This window comes from Homo sapiens, chromosome 7, assembly GCF_000001405.40.
Source record: "Homo sapiens chromosome 7, GRCh38.p14 Primary Assembly".
In the NCBI taxonomy this organism is placed as follows: Eukaryota; Metazoa; Chordata; class Mammalia; order Primates; family Hominidae; genus Homo; species Homo sapiens.
The window spans coordinates 85209565-85227857 of NC_000007.14; the positions used below are offsets into that span (position 1 = coordinate 85209565).

Here is an 18293-nt window from a genome sequence, read left to right on the forward strand (position 1 = left end):
AAAAGAATTATTATTCTTTATTGATTACTTCCTTTCTTATCCTCTGATTCCTCTGTTTGCTTTGACATTTTGTAGTGATTCACTTCTTTCTTCCCAAATACAGTTTTTATACCAAACTATCAACCTGTAGAAACTAGAAAACTCAAGCTGTCCAGTGCAATACATTAAGACATTTTCAACAATAAATAATGAAATAGTTGTTCAGCTCTTAAGCTTGAAACACTTTATGTGCAACATGTGTGCACATATTTAATTCCCACAAGGTCAATTAAAACACATTTTTTTAAAACGATGACAAAATCTAGTCTTCACTGCAGTTGTCAGTCTTTGTCTTGGTTATTATTAAACCTTGAAAACTATTTATAATGCCTTCAAAAATTTCCAAGAACACCAGTAGTGGAGTGATAACTCCTGGGACTACCACAGAAAACAGTGGAACTCTAGGTTTGGAATGTATTGATCCAACCTCCTCATTTACTGATGAATAAACTAAGGGTCAGATCTGTTTGACCAAGGTCACACCATTAACTAATGGGAGGCTCTAAACAACACCCATGTTTTGAAGATTCTATTATAGACCACAGCCTCTCTCAGCAGATGCTAATTAAGTAAAACCATTGCAAATCTTCCTTTGGTCACAAAACCTGGGTCTCTACATTAGGGAAGATAACCTATTAGTTATTCTTTCCTTTGTTTTTCCTATTAAAACATGGTTAATCATTATGTAGTCATAACACAAATAATTTTTAAAGTGAAAGGTTATTGTTAAATTTTGATGACTACATAAGATACATTTTCTTCTTTTAATTTAATTTATGCTTTTAGGGAATTCCTTAAATCATTATTTGACATTCCATAGTTAATTGGAAATTATCCATATGTGCATAAACATTTTAGGATTATTAGGAGATTTCACATAGGAAAGGAACAATGATGAAGGATTCTATGTAACTAGAGTCAAAGCATAGGTCTGAAATGAATAAAATTATATCAAAGTCTATACTTTGTCCTACATTAGAAACATTTAAAAAGTTACTTAAGACATCTACAATAGATATACAAACATTCAGCAGGATTAAAGATGATAAAGCATTCACTAGAATTAAAGATTGAAGATACCATATTCAGAAATGGAAACTGGTTTATCTATTGTAGAGTAACAGAAGGCAATAAATTCAAAGTTGCTATGTTAGGCTATCCCAATTATTATTGTCTAATTTGTGTGATCCTCAACACCATTAGATGTAAGTAATATACAATATTCAGGCTATTTGACTTATTACTTACTATGGTCTTTAGTAGGATTAGGCTAAAGTATTCTACTATAACCTCCTCTGTTTTTATTCATGTATTAATGTATCAAATATACTTTGAAAGTCTACTAAGAGACAGACAATATTGTAGATGCTGGAGAGAAAATGGTAAATAAAAATCATCTTTCACTTTATGATTAAGTTGGGGAGACAGATCTACTGTCAAATTAACTACAAAATAAATGTAAAAGGATTCCCTGATTCTCTACAGTTCCAATTTAGTGTCTTATACGGAGCAATTATCAATCCTCTTTAACCAAAGAGGATGAATGGGCTTAAATGCAAACAACAATTTCTGAAAAATTAATTTAATAAGGTAAACGGGTTCCCAAAAGTAGATGTAAATATAAAGAAAGATGAGACCCAATTCTAAACATTTGTTAATTCTGTTTCTGTTCTTCAATTTTCCTCTACTACTTGCTAGTCTCTGTGAGGACATTTTCCACATTGAGTTCCCAGTTTTCCCTCTCTCTTTCCTTTTGTTGATATGTATTTTAGAGAGGACTCAGGCAGCCCACACTGTTAGGTGAAGATAGAAAGCCTGAATATTTTCTTTTATATTGATACTTGAATTATGAACATAAGAGCAGTTCAACAGAACAGAATTATGTTTGCTGTTGAAATTCTTTCTTCACTCATTGCTAGGTTTGGGGCATCTATAGCAAAATGCAAACTAACAATAGAAAGACATACAAATGTATTTAATATAAATTACAAATGCATGAAAGGCTTCAGAAATAAAAGCCTAAATAGACAAGAAAACTGTGTACTGTTGATGCTTGAACAACACAAGTTTGAACTGTGTGCGTGTGCTCTTCTGCCTCTGTTTCCCCTAAGACAGCAACACCAACCCCTCATCTTCCTCCTCCTCAGCCTACTCATCATGAAGATGAGAATGAAGATCGTTGTGATGATCTACTTCCAGTAAATGAATAACTATATTTTATCTTCCTTATAATTTTAAAAATAACATTATCTTTTCTCTAGCTTATTTTATTATAGGAATATAGTATATAATACATAAAACACACAAAAATATATGTGTTAATCAATTGTTTATGTTATCTGTAAGACTTATGGTCAACAATAGGCTGTAGTGATTAAGTTTTTGGAGAGTCAAAAGTTATCAGTGAATTTTTGACCATGCCTGATGCCATCACTAATCTCCTACTTGTTCAATGGTAAACTATTTTTTTACTTAGGCTTAATAAATACTTGGATAGTCATGGAGAAGCATGCTTGGACAAATGAAGTATGATCTAATAGTACAAATGGTATAGGGGAATTTAGCAAGGCCTGTTTGTTCAGATTCTTCTGTGTTTCTCTGTTCAGAAAATGTTCCTTTCCTTCCAGTATAGGGAGGGCACCTCTCAAACGAGGGTCTTATGATTTATTTCAGGGGAGAAGGGCAGGAAAAATTCAAAGTGACTTTCCTAGATTTTGTTACCTGCTTCTGATGCTTTCTCAAATGCGGACATGCCATATTTTAGAGTAACTTGTCTTGAACCCCATCAATGGAAAACCCTTCAGCCTTAGAATAGCAATGTGTACCTGTTAAACTTGTATTTTTCCTGAAACAAATTGCAGGGCTGATCAGTTCTTCTTCAGAGAAATATAGTGCCTATGTGGTTTCTTCCACTTATCAACTTTGATATCGACTCAGATTAAAAAACAAGTCTGTAAATGCATGTGCATGCACCTGTGTGTGTGTTGCGTGTTTGTATCATTAGATGTGAGAAAAATGCTTCTTTTTAATATTAAAATTTTATAATGCTGAAATAAATTAAGCTTTGTTTAATGATTTACTACAGATAAATTTTTGATATTAAAACTTCAGCTCTGGTAGCAAGATTTTCTTTTAAAATCTAATTTATAGATTTATATTAGTGTCTTCAAATAATGAACTATTTACTCTTTATTTTTAGGTATTTTATTTCCACTCAATTTATAGCAGTTTTATGCCAAATGATTACATTTCAGGCAAAATATCTGCTAAACGAAACTTCATGCAATAATGACTTGTACAGTGCATTAGATTGAATGGTACACTTAGCTAAAATATTGCCCAGAAGAAAGCTTATTTTGTCAAATATTAAAAGAACAATTTTCTATTCATTCAGGTTTATTCTAGAATTTATAAATTATCAGTTTATAAAAAGTATATTAGAATACATTTAGGAATTGTTACTGCTAGTACTATTGGACGATTAGTTTTCCCAGGTGTTAAGCAATGTATAGTGCTGATTTTCATCAATCACAATCATTATATGTTGAACACACTGCTTATGGTCATTGCCTTTCTCACTACCTATTTTATCAGCAGCTAACAAATAGAGATAGTGTGCTTAATTGATAAGCACACACACAGAATTAAAAATTGTCTCTATTTGCAATAGTATAATTTAAAAGACTTTACTAGATTTTTGAATAGTTTCTACAAATGCTAAAAGTACCTAAAACGATACTAAGCTTTAATAGTTGAAATGTATTAAAAAGTATAGTCTTTTAAAATCCAAAATGGTATTCTTCACATCATTTATATGTTATCAGATGAGCTAAATATTAATTGCAAGAAAAAAACTACTTTCCAATAAGTTTTAAGTAAGGCCTTTATTGTTATTGATTGATTACTTACTTGTTTTTACACACTTATCTCTTAAATTCTGTATCTCCAGGGAATGATTTTCTAATTATTCAGTGTGTTGATGGTTGTCATGCATCTGCCAGTGTCTGTATTTCTTCACAGATGGATAAAGGGAATTCTCTTCAGTTCTGTGTGATCCTTTAAGGGGACAAGAGGGGACAGTTTCCTAGGGCATTAAACAGAAACTGCTATCTCTTTAATCACTTAGTGTAAGTGCATGAGGTCTTTCACCTCTGTGACCCACGGTATTTGATTAGTACTAAAACTGCATTTGATAAGTGTGTTTTATTTTTAATTTTCATTTTGTTTGTGCATTATTATGCTAAATTTAATTTAGTTTACATCAGCAACATTTCTAGATGTGGCTCTCTTTGGCTGCCTTTCAGTCTCATGGGCTATATAAAAAAGTACATAAATTATTAAGTTTAGCATCATTGAAAACATGTGCATCTATGTAAAAATGTCATACATTCAGTGTGGCTACCATCTGTGGTTATGGTAATATAAACCCATAAACGTGCACAATCCTATATATTGATTCAAATAAACAAAATCCACTTGGATCCATAACCTGATATTGTGGTTTGGGTAGGTACCATTTTATTCTGTCAAACATCAAATGGGAAGAGTAATAAAATACACATATTGTTTTGGTTAGTTGACACTTCCCTTCTCTAACAACTGGGATCCACTCTTTAGAGTGAAATAACTAATTCAACATTGTGGATCAATAGCACCAAGGACTTTTCTTTGGTACTAACACTAGTCATCATTGGAAAATATGCTTTAGTTGTACACATATTGTAATAAAGTGTTTGCACTATATTACTAATTGTACCTAGAGTGACATCTCTATACCATTTAAATTAGGGTAGAAGATAGAGAAGAAACATACGACACCCAGAGAGAAAGATATGTAATTTTAGCTGGAAGGAGGGAATGAGATGTGTATCTCTTTATTAAATTATTTTAATTAATTAATTAATTTTTTTGAGACAGAGTTTCCCTCTTGTTGCCCAGGCTGGAGTGCAATGGTGTGATCTCGGCTTCCTGCAACCTCTACCTCCCGGGTTCAAGCAATTTTACTGCCTCAGCCTCCCGAGTAGCTGGGATTATAGGCACGTGACACCACACCAGGCTAATTTTGTATTTTTAGTAGAGTTGGGGTTTCACCATGTTGGTCAGGCTAGTCTCGAACTCCCAACCTCAGGTGATCCACCTTCCTCGGCCTCCCAAAGTGCTGGGATTACAGGCGTGAGCCACCGTGCCCGGCCTGTTTTTGGCTCTTATAATGATGATTTCAATGGTTATTTCTACATATAAACCCAATATCAAGCATTCTAAGGACTGATCAAACTATGTACGTATGTACATTTCACTTGGGTTCTTTTTGGCCTCTTCATATGGCAATGATTTTGCAATATTTTTCCTATAGAAAGAGTAGGAAAAATATTGTTTCCCTATCAAGGTTATTTAATATTTATATTTTATCACTGATAGTTTAGGAGAGGTCCCTTTAGCTTGTATTATAAAATTTAGGATTGTTGTCAAATTTGCAGTAAATTCTACCAAGTGTTCTTCTTCTTTCTTTCTTTCTTTTTTTTTTTTTTTCATAAAAGCTTTAAGGTTTCTGGACATTTCAGATTTTCTTGGACTGTGAAGACTGACTAATCTCAATTGCCCTGCACTCATTAACTAGGGCTTTAGAAGTTGTCTGTGCAAATCACAGGGCTTGAAAAGTAAATTTCATTAGTTTCATGTTGCATTCACCTCTGGAAAGACCCTATGAAGTAGGTGTTATTGTTGTTCTCATATTAGAAATAATGAAACTAAGACTTGGAAGCATCAAGAGATTGTCTCTTAGTATGACAGAGCTAGTTATCTGGAGCAGCTTGAATTCTCGGCCAATTTATTCAATCTGATTTCAAGTCATTTGTATTAAACTACTTTGTTCTATGCCCTCCCCAAAACAAGATCTGGGATCAGAGCAAGAGACGGAGAACTGCAATCTTTTTTCTCCCTCACCTTCTTCTTTGAGTAATAGTTCTCAAACTGTTAATCTCAGGATACTTTTATACTCAAAAAATTCATTAAAGGCCCTAAGTTTTTGTTTCTGCGGATTATAACTACTATAACAGAAATTAAAATGGAAAAAATTAAATATACATTTATTAATTCATTTGAAAATAACAATAGTAAACTTACTACATGTAAATATATATTACACTTTTTATGAAAAACATATATTTTCCCAACAAACAAGACATTTCGGGAGAAGAGTAGAACCATTTTACATTTTTGCAAATTACTTTCATAGCCTTTTCAGATAATTATAGATAATTTTCTTCAAGATTACACTCAAACCTGAAAAATAATAATTTCATAAAAGCTAGTTGTAATGAGAAATTTAAAACAATTGGCCTATTTTGCACTTTTAAGGTTCTTTTTCATAATATAAAACTTTTCATCTGGAAAATATTGGTTCTTTGAGTTATGCAGACCTTCCAAATGTTAACATAGTTTATTATATAATGGCAAACTATCACATTCATTAATATTATCATTGATTTCATCAGAGATGTCTTAAAATTACTGTGAAGCTCACACTGTGGATGTAATTTTTCCAAAGTCCTAATTTTTGCCTGAAAGCTCACTTTATCAAAGACAACACATTTTTATTGAGGATACAGGTTTACTTCATTCATTTTGGAGAAAGTTTCAGCCAAATATTTAACTCTAAATTATAGGGGTTTTTTGTCAGTTGTTCTTTCAAGTAAAAATAATTTTACATGAAAAAACAAGTGACCAGTTCAACTTGTAACACAAATAAGAGTGTTGTGTGTGTGTGTGTGTGTGTGTGTGTGTGTGAAAAAATCATTGTAGTTTGTTGTGTGGCAGAATTGTTTTGGGCAAATTTCCCACTTTACTACACACAATATTTAAAAGCATGTATACAATTGTTGAAATTTAGTAAAATTAATATTTTTTACTGTCTCACCAAGGAAATTCTGAAATTAAACTGGCTTTTTTTTTAAGTGCAAGATGGCAAAGAACACAATGATTGCTCTTAGAATTTGACACCACTGTTTTCATTGGTGCTAATGTGCTGGTAGTTTTTCCCACCATTGCTTTTGTGTTATCAGTGCTAATAATGTTAACTAAGTAGGACAGATAAAAATGCAAGAAAAAAATGGAGTAGTGTTAATTAATAAAATATGTTATTTTTATGGGTTTTACAATGTCTATGAAATTTGTTGTTTTCTGTAATTGTAATTTATTGAATTTTTTCTCATTCTAAATAAATATTTAGTTTTGTACTTAATTTAATATTCTTAATACTGAATTCTTAAGATCTCCCACCCCCAAATTATATAAGCTTCAGGCTCCAAAAAACTTGGATTTGCCCTTGAGTCTCCGTGGTCATTAAATTAAATAATCTATTTAAGATTTTAGTGTGTTTTCTAATACAAAGCATTTTATATAAATGTTAACTATTTTATTATTCCTAATGCAAAATAGAGCCACATGATTATTTAATGTTGAAAGTTTAATAGCTTCATATAATTGCACATCATATATAAAGACATAATACAAAGCATTATAGTTCTGTACACAACATCTTTATTATTTTCTACTTATCTGCACTTCTCTAGCTATAATGCTGTGACTGCTTATTACATAGAGGCCTTCAAACCTTAGGCCAAACTTGTGCTTATTTGTGTTCTGTTTAGCATCGCCCTCAGTGATAGCTGCATATGCCTGTTTCCAAGCCAGACTAATATATTAGTCACATATTCATCGAATATTTATTTGGCACTGGCTACATGCTTCAGTAATACTCCTGGCCTCAAAAAAGATAAAGGTGAGTGATAGAAATAGGGCCCTTGTCCTCACAGATCTTATAGTTTAACAAAAACAGAGATGGGAGAGTATAAACAAATAATTAAGCAACTAAGATATGTATTCTGGACACTTAATTCAAGGGACAATGAAGAAGGATAAGTGAAGAAAAGTTGGCATCATAAAAAAGTGCAAGATTTAGCCAATGGACTGGAGGATAAGAGAGTGTTCTAATTCCCAGGAACCAGTAGATAAGGGCCCTTTTGTTGTCATGTTTCTTTGCTCAAGAATGCCCTTTGCCAATAAGTGCCAGCAAACACCCATTTGTTTATGAAAGGCCAATACTAATGTTCTTTTTTATGAAGCCCATTATGACTCTACCAAGTAATTTGTTTCTTTGATATAGGTGTTTTCCTCATTTATACATGGAGATAATCGCCTTTGATAAATGTTTAGTGCAATGCCTGTCACAAAGCTGTCATTAAATTATTGTTGTTATCATTTATATCACTGTCATTTACATCAATATAGTTTAACAATCTCAAGTACTCTCTGGTGTCATCATTTTCAATTATCAATTGCAACATTCACAGCATTGTATGCTTCAATAATTGTTATTAGTTAAATAATCATTTTGCTATTTACAGATTTGTCGACAAAAGTGAAAGTTACTCCTGGTCATGGCCGAGTGCCTGAGTAATGCCAGGAGTGTAGGAGTCTCAAAGAAGCATAAATTGTTCATTTGAGATGAAAGGATATTCAATTATTCTGCACTGATTGGGTTTCTGAGATAAGAAACATATCATTTCTGAAGAAAGATGTCCTTTAATTGGATAAAAAAGGCAGGAAACTATATGGTCTACAGACCTTTCTAACTGTATACTTCTTTGAATAAAAACTATCAAAATGTATTCTTAATATATATGTATTTATTTAAGTGATGGACATGTACCAGTACATTGTACACATTATAAAACATTCATACAATAGGAATACATAAAAAATAATTTTTAAGCCATATTTTGATGTACTGCCTTTTTAACTTTATTATTAAAAGTGTACAATTATTTATCTTTGATGCGACTCTATATTTCAAATGGTCTTGAAAATTTTGGGTATTTTTATATAATTTCTCACTATATCTCATGAGATTATAATTGACTTTACATTACAATGTGCAGTTTGAAGAGTTTATAATTGAAGAAGGTAAATCAGCTCTTTTTGTGTCTGTTTTATTTGTGTTTGCATTATGTAGTAGTATACACATCAGTCTGAGCTTTAACAGATAATTTATTTAATTGGCCATTTACTTTAAAGAAAAATTAATACATACAAATTGTAATATTGTATTTCTATCATGAGCAAGCCAATGATGCCTACCTTTTATGGAGACCAATGTCTTAGAATTTTATTTGTCATCTAAAATTAGAAACTATATTACAAGATTTCAAAGCAACTTTTAACACTCAGCAGGCTTGTTTAAAATGTGGGTATTCCCAGGTTCCAACTGTCACAGATCCTGATTCAATAAGCCCTCAGTTAGCTAAGGGATATGCATATTTAATGTATCACTCAAGTTATTCTGATACCCAATTAAAACTAAGAAGTAGAAGATCAAGCTTCTAGAAATGAGCTACGCACTTATTTTGAAAACTCTCCCCTTTGTTTCTTAACCATGATTAGTTGTAGAACTTTTAAATAAAAAAGTGGCCCATGTTCTCCTCTTGGATGGCAGCAAACAATGGGTGTACAGCTTAGATTTCCACATCCTCTGTATGCCCAGGCTTGTGGGTGAAGAACCCTAGGTGAAAGAGTTTGTGGTGGCATCTGCCAGAGGAAGAGAATGTAGATTGTTCTCCAGAGCCCACAGAGGGAAAAAAAAGTAAAGAAAAAGAAATAAAACCAGGAGTCCTTGGGGAAAGAAGAGGTACCTATGACTAAAATATCAGAATTGGTTATGTTGGCTTCACTGCCAGTGCCCTTAATGTATTACAGCTATAAGTGAACACCAATTATATTTTACTCATGTTTGTATATCAGACACAATTTTTACCTGATTTATGTTATTAGTACATTAATATAAAATGAAAGACATTTTTTTTAGCAATACATTACCAATTCTATGGTTACTCTTTATCATATGGTAAATATATGTGATTTCAACTTACTTTATAAATGGAATATATATAGTAAAATTAATTAGATTATAACATCTATTTTAAAATAAGATTTCTAACAGAAGGATACAGAGTCATAACAGATGGAACCACATACAGGCACACACTCACAGGAGAGCTACTCTAGGTCCTGTAGGAGTCTTTCAAGGATACAGTTATGATCAAAATATATGCTTGCCATTGAAGAGACAGTGGTGCTGGTGAAAGATTTTCCATAATTCTAAAATTATACACGCAAAGTATGTTATTTTACTCCCAGCAATATGGTTTAACAATCTCAAACTTTATGAAAGAAAAATCAATAAAAAGTTATTGTGTGAAGTGTTTTGAGTTATAGATTATTCACACGGAAATATAGAACCTATTTAAGTCACCTACAACAGGCTCATAGAATGTTTTCATTAATATTATTCCAAGTTTGTTGGTAGGAAATGTTAAATAAGCAAGGCTTAAATATGCTATCTGATATTAGCAAATTGTCAGTCAATTTGGAAATTGTCAGTAATCCCCTCCACAAATGTTTGTTTGCTCCTAACTGTAATAATAAAAAAATCAGTACTTTAAAATATTTTACTTTAGTTTGCCTTATTCTTCAAGGTATCATATTCAAATACAACTGGTATTCTGTCCTAGATGTTCTGAGTCAGATCTGGATACCATGTGTTGTCGCTGTGTCTCTAAACAATTCATTCTGTCACTGACACTTTGGTTTGGTTTCTTGGGCTATGTCAACAAGCCAGCCTAGAAAAATTTCCATAAAAAATACATATGGGTGGCAGAGTTTCAGGTTCCTTTTTTTTTTTTTTTTTATCTCTACACAAATTTCTATTTACCGATTTATGTTAAAATTCTAGGCAAACCTCTTCCCCAGGGGGAAACAAAAAATGTTTATTGGCACTCTGTCCTCTCCCATTTCAATTCACAACTTATGAATGGGTCAGTCATATGATTATCGGGAGAACTGATAGTGGTCTCTGATTAAAAAAAGTCTGAGATTATAATGTCAGTTCTGCACCTTGCTTACTGTGTAATTTTGGGCAGCTAATTAAACTTCTCTGGATTTAGCTTTCTAGTGTGTAAAGTTAGGAAAGTAGTAACACCAGTCTTTAAAAGATAATATATATGTTATGGGCTTTATCAACTCTGAAAAAGACTACAAATTTAAAAATAATACATTACTCTTGCCTGATAAAGAAACAGTGCTATTTAAAAGACAGCTATCTAGACAGTGTTGACAGAGAAGGAAAGGAGCTCTCATTGTTTCTTTGATCCAAACAGAGTTATCTCTTAAACTGATGGTACAATCAGTTGGTTCAGGTCAGAGGGGCCTGGCCTGGGCCCAACTACATAGAATCATGTTGCACAAAATGCAGGACAAAGAGTTCAACACAAAAGTGGATCAGAGCAGTGAATAACTCAGAGCAGTAAACTGAACTTTATTTTTTATAGGGTTGGGGTCAGGTATAACAGTGATGAGGGAGTCCAAAGGACCTTGGCCTCAGATCTTTTCAAGCAGGCATGTGCTCCAATGTCATGACCCCAGAACAGAAACAGACAAAACTAGCATAGATCCCATTGAACCACTAGGAAAGGAATGAAGAGTCCATGTGTAAACTATCCATTGTTCAACTAGGCAATTTTATTTTGGACAGTGTTTGCCTAAACAAGGGAGAGAGAATAAGGAAAATATAAGTAAAAAGCAACTCAGTAAAGAATATGATTAAAAGGCACACCAAGATGCAAAAGTAGGGGAAATAGAGATTTAGGTAACACTCTATTGTTTGAAGTAGAAACTGCATCTTTTTAAAGGTTAAGACTTCAATATATCCTCACTTTACCACTGAGAAAACCAAACTGTAAAAGAATAGATCAGATACTAAAGTTCACATACTGACCAGTGTTCAAATCCATATATTCTTTTCTGGTGTCAAACACTGTGTTCCTGAAACCTGTGTTATCGTATCTGAGATGATTGTCAAGATGTTCTCATTTGGTGGTCACCAGTGATAGCGTTTATTATGTTTAGTGTTCTCAAAACACAAGTAAATATAAAACAGATAGCTAAGTGTGTAATAGATTATATTATAGTCACTCACATGAATCATACACACAGACACTTAATAGACAAACAAGATGTCTCAGGTATAATGTCAAATAATGTTATGAGTATCTTTAGGAGAAAGAAAAGGAAAAATCTCTCTTAAAATAAACTTAACAATCAATGCTATGAATAGAACAAAAACTGTGAAGGATTAATAGCATTGACTTAAATGTCAAATTCTCCTTTGATTAAAAAAACATAGTGTATAATTATAGAATTTCAATCTAGATTGTTTTATGACACTCAAATTTATCACACATAGGTTAATATGTATATTAACCTAACTTGCTATTGAGCAAGTCTTTTAGGAAGGCAAGAAACACATAATAATCATTGCAGATAATAAAATTGCTGAAGGCTGCAGTGAGGTTTAGAAATCCCCAATCAAATTTAGCTGTCTATTCTCAAGATGTGTACATTACTAGACCAATTTTCTTAATACATATTTTTACTTCTAGAATATATGCCCTAAAAATTAGCAAAACATCTGAAAGTCTTTATCTCTTGCAAACTTATTTTGCTACCATTTACTAACCCTGAGAAGTTAAACATTTCTTTGTACGTATGTTTTTGAAGGTGATTTGATATTTTATTTAAATAAAGCTGTTTTCAAAGTAGCTAAAGGTAAAATTGGAATTTTGCATTTAAATTTCAAATTAACATGAAAAAAAAATCCAAGCTGGGTGTCTGGTAATATGCAGAAAACTAATCATTCCAATGCAATGGCAATGAATATAAGCATAAAAGACTATAAAACACTATACATATATTACATATATTTGTGTATGTACGTAAATATATGTATATAGTCTGTTATTTTCCATGTTTGTTTTGTTTCCCACTATGGTTTTTGTTTTAAAGATGGATTCAGGTAGTTTATTTTTCTGTGTGTGGAGTATATTCACTGTTCTAAAAGTATGGCCAGAATTAATTGATTTATTTAAAGTTAACTTAAGAAAATATTAACCTCCCCAACCTCAACTGGTCAAGGCATAAGCAACCCTCTGTGTCTGCTTCACAGAAACGAAGGCATTGCCCTGCACTTCAGTCTTTAGCAGAGATACTATACTGTACTAGGAGTTCATCATCAACAAAGAATGCGACCCTCAGCCAGGACCTAGGAGATAACTATGAATTTGTACTTCTGCTGTCTCCACCATGCTATTTAGTGGAGATGAGGAAAGGACTTATGAAAATATCAAGGTCTCTTGAAAATTATTTAAGTGTCACACAGAGTGGGAGAAAATTTTCGCAAACCATGCATCGGACAAAGGACTAATATCCAGAATCTGCAAGGAAAACAAACGAATTGGTAAGCAAAAAACAAGTAATCCCATCAAAAAGTGGGCTGGGGACATGAATAGATGATTCCCAAAAGAAGATATACAAATGGCCAACAAACATGAACAAATGCCCAACAGCCCAACATCACTAATTGTCAGAGAAACGCAAATCAAAACCATAAGGCAATACCATCTTATTCCTGCAAGAATGGCCACAATTAAAAAAAAATAGATGTTGGTGTGAATGTGCTGAAAAGGGAACCCTTTTACACTGCCAGTGGGAATGTAAGCTAGCACAACCACTGTGGAAAACAGTATGGAGATTCCTTAAAGCACTATTAGGTTGGTGTGAATGTAATTGCAGTTTTGGCCATTTTAATGACAATACCACAATTACTTTTGCACCAACCTCATAAAATTAGAACTACCATTCAATCCAGCACTCCCACTACTGGGTATTTATCCAGAGGAAAATAAGTCATTACATGAAAAACAGACTTGTACAGGCATGTTTATACCAGGACAATTTGCTATTGCAAAAATATGGAACTAGCTCAAAAGCCGATCAATCAATGAGAAGATAAATAAAATATGATATATATATATATCATATATTTGTGTGTGTGTGTGTGTGTGTATACACCATGGAATACTACTCAGCCATAAAAAGGACAAAATAATGGCATTAACAGCAAGTTGGACGGACTTGGAGATGGTTATTCTAAATACAATAACTCATAACTGGAAAACCAAACATTGTATGTCCTCACTTATCAGTGGGAACTAAACTATGAGGATGCAAAGGCATAAGAATAATACAATGAACTTTGGGGACTCTGGGAGGGGTGAGGGGGGTGCAGGATAAAAGACTACACATTGGGTACAGTGTGCACTGCTCAGGTGATGGGTGCATCAAAATCTCAGAAATCACCACTAATGAACTTATCCGTGTAACCCCCATTCCAAAAAAGCTGTTGAAAAAAAAAAGTCTCTAAGAAATAATGCAAAGAAAAGAACCACACACTACAATTCCAAAGCTGGCAGGCAAAGGCAGACAGACACAGGAAAAACAAACTGGAAACAATTTTTATTATATGTTGTCACATGGCAATACTACAAATATATCAATTTTCAAATGAAAAAAATTATTTAAGGGTCAACAGTTTATTTGTGTAACTTCTTGATAACACTTTATAAAGAAAGCTACATTATTTACTTAGAAGAGCACTGGGATTATTTTTGTAATTCCCATAACACACACACAGGTCTACTTATAAAATTGCCGAATATTAGAGCTTGAAGGAAACTTAGAGATTATTTTACCTTTGTTTGTATTTGTAGGTGAGAAAACTGAAGTCCAGAGAATTTAAATAACTCTTCTGAATGCCTGCAGCAAATCTTGAAGTCCTGAGGCCAACTCCCAGTGCTGTATTCTGCATTCCAGAGCACAATTCGTCGTCTTGGATAAATGGTAGTCCAACTTGCAACATAGACTGCATCACATCATTTGTTAATGGAACTATGTAATAGGAAAGTTATGGCTGAAATTAATTTTGGAATTCACCTAATGGAATTTATTACTTTGTAGGTAAAAAAAGTGAGGTCAAAAAAAGTTGTGTAAAATGAAAAGGAAACTGCCTAAAGTAACAGTGTTAGATGAATGTGCATATTTTATCAACTAGTTCAGCATTAGCTAGATCATGTAACAACCTTGTCATATCTAGGCTCATCTTTTTGTTTTGAGTTATTTAAGTGTCATCTTCTTAACTTTCACTAGAAATGGTCCTGTAATTATCTTTCACCCTACAATACTAATAAACATATAGTCAAATAAAGTTGGCAAAACAGGCAGCCTTTAAAAGCAGAGATGCCTATTCTCTATTGCAATATTTTTAAAGCCTTGCTTTATACTGATAAGCATGAAAATCTCATTTTCTTTCTTCCTTACCACAAGATGCATATATTTATCCAAGAAGATTTTGTCCAGTTTCATTCTGAGCAGTTTGTATCATGAAAACAATACATTTGTTTCATTTTCGAAATACAAAATTATTATGTTGTCTATGCTTTTCAAACCATACAATCTGTGGAGTTTCCTTTTTGAGAATCACTGCTCCTGATTTTCTTTTATATATATATATATATATATATATATATATATATATATATATATATATATATATACATACATATATACATATATATAATAAATATATATATAAAATACATATATATAATAAATATATATATAAAATACATATATAATACATATATGTAATATATATTATACATATATATATTATACTTTTAGTGCTATTTTCTAGTGAAAATCAGAATAAGCTGTGTTCTTCTAATCTGTGATCCTCTTATCTTTCCTCTTTTCCTGTTTTCTTTTCCCCTTCTCCTTCCTCTCTCTCTCTTCATGAACAATTCAGATCTCCAGCCTTTAGGTGATATGGGGCACAGTAAGAAAGGTACACACTCACTTGGAGATGCAGCCTGGTGAGGGATGTTAGAAGCCTATGTTTAATGAGGAGGTCTTCCAGGTGGAGTGGCTGGAGTGGCCTGGTGTGTGGGGCATCAGTATAAAGTTTGCTGAACTGGCTATTAAGAAATCATACTTAACCAGATTGAAAGGTTAAAAGATTTTCTAGATAACTATCAGCAATTTTGATTTAGGTACATATCCTATCTTAATTGACAGAAAAATTGTGATGAGCCACCTACAGACTGCTAAACTAAAAGAGCACCCTGTAACACACGCCCACTGGGGCTTTAGCTGTAAACATTCACCCCTAGACACTGCTGTGGGGTCAGAGCCCCACAGGTCCCTGCCTGTATGCTCCCCTAGAGGTATGAGCAGTGGGGTACTGAGGAGGCGAGCCACACTCCCCATTGCATCCGGCCAGGGGGACAAGGGAATCTTTCCCATTTCAATTTCATGTTACAAACATCATTTCTTAGGAAAGATTATATTACCTTGAAAGTTTTACATACTATACTTTACAAATACAATAATATAAAAATCTAGTATATAGGATTATAAAGCCTCCACATTGCACTAATTTTCTAAATTACACTTATGACTTCTCTTTCACTAATCCATCATTAAGCTATCAAAATCCTTGTTTAGCTCCTCCCCATCAAATTCCCATATTTTTAAACAAACACATTATTAGTACATTTTCTTATAGTATTAAGGCTGTTTAACATTCCAGGGCTTTCACATGTTTTATTCACTCTCTCCACTGTAAATAGTCTTTACCAGCTTGAATTTATATGACACTTCGTTAAAAAAAAACTCTTTTTTTCTTTTGCTAGTGTGCTCATGAGTTTAGTTTCAAATGAATCTAACACATACTCCTTTCATCCTTGTTTTTGAGGTTTGACAAAATAAAATTGCAACTTCATGCTGCAGGTAAAAATACTAATAACTTCAATGTTTTTTCAACTTCAATCCAGAGATAATGCAGTATCCATATTTTTTATAAAACTAGCATATATGCATTCTTATTAAATGACATACTCATTGTATGGTTGGTAAGCCCCCTTTTTCACTTAAATATGGAATTAAACTATGAAAGATAGCAAATTTTACTTTGATTTTTGTGGTTGTGGAAACACATTAGATAACATATTTGCAGGTTTTGTGGTACTTGTGGTAACAACAGGATTGTGAACTCATAGTTTGTTTTGGTGGATAGTCACATTCAAGAGAAAGGCAGTTTTCCAGTTTCAACACTGAAAAGTAAGATGAGGATTTTTTTTTTTGTTAGTCTTCATATATAAGAAATGTCTTTGTTGCAACAAGTCAAAGTTGCATAAAAATAATTAGTATTGTTTAAAGTGAGGGTTAAACACAGCCTGCTTTATGGAATAGAAACTTTACTGATTACAAGGCAGATATCTTCAAAGTGCATGCCACGTACTTCTTTATTGAGTTTATATTGTGGAAATTTATGGTACTATAAAGATTTATCTATACATCAGTGGATAACTGATGGTAAATGAAAAGCCCTGTGGTTTCTTTTAAAGTATGTGCATTAAGCGCAATGACCTTTATGTGCTTTCAAATAAAAATAAGATTGAATTGTAAAAGCAGTAATTGAGATCCCTTTCCACGGTTTATTTTCTTGAAAAATGATATTGAGTTAATTGACTCTTTTTGTCCTTTGTATTTATATTTTTTGCTGAATAGTATTTATTCTGCTGGAAAGTATTTCTGTAAATATTATCAATGTACTCTCTATGAAATATAAGGATTAGGGCTAAACTGTAAGAACATAATAAAAATATTCACATCATTATTCTTTGAAACATTGTAAACCTACATGATGCCATGGTCTCAATGTTTGGGTCTCCCAAAATTTCTATGTGGAAAGGTAACCACCAATGTCATGTTAGGAGATGGGAACATTGGGAGGTTATTGGATCATGAGGGCAGATTGCTCATGACTGGGATTAGTGCCAGTATAAAGGACACCCCAAAGAGCTGCTTTGCTTTTTCTAACATGTGAGGGCACAGACAGAAGCCACCATCTATGAACCAGGAAACAGGCCCTCACTAGATGTTGAATATGCCAGTACCTTAATCTTGAATTTCTCAGCATCCAGAACTACAAAAAATAAATTTCAGTTGTTTATAAGCTACCCAGTTAATAGTATTTTGTTATAGCAGCACAAACAGACTGAAATACATGGCATCTAATTTGAAAACATGCATGACAAATATATAAAATATATGTAATATATGTATGAATATATTTAATATCAGGTCTGCAGAAAAAATTACATTCTTTTAGTAGAAAACAAATGTATGATGAATTTCATAAGTTAGAATTCTGTGTACTATTTCATTTTGAAGAAATTTTCTAAGTTGGACCTTATTAATCATAGTGCAATTTCTTCCAGATTGTTCGTACAATATTATAAAAA

The 18293-nt window shown here is 32.7% G+C and overlaps 1 protein-coding gene across 3 annotated transcripts in view; it reads right to left on the minus strand.

The window, feature by feature from the left end:
• The window catches only part of SEMA3D (semaphorin 3D), a 254691-nt gene that overhangs the window by 214012 nt on the left and 22386 nt on the right, over nt 1–18293 (minus strand). Inside the window, exon 2 of one of the 3 annotated variants that reach the window (NM_001384902.1) lies at nt 14682–14877. The exons of the other annotated variants lie outside the window; for them this stretch is intronic. The gene's annotated coding sequence lies outside the window, so the exon portion shown is untranslated. The remainder of the gene's footprint in view (nt 1–14681; nt 14878–18293) is intronic. 3 annotated transcript variants of the gene reach the window in all.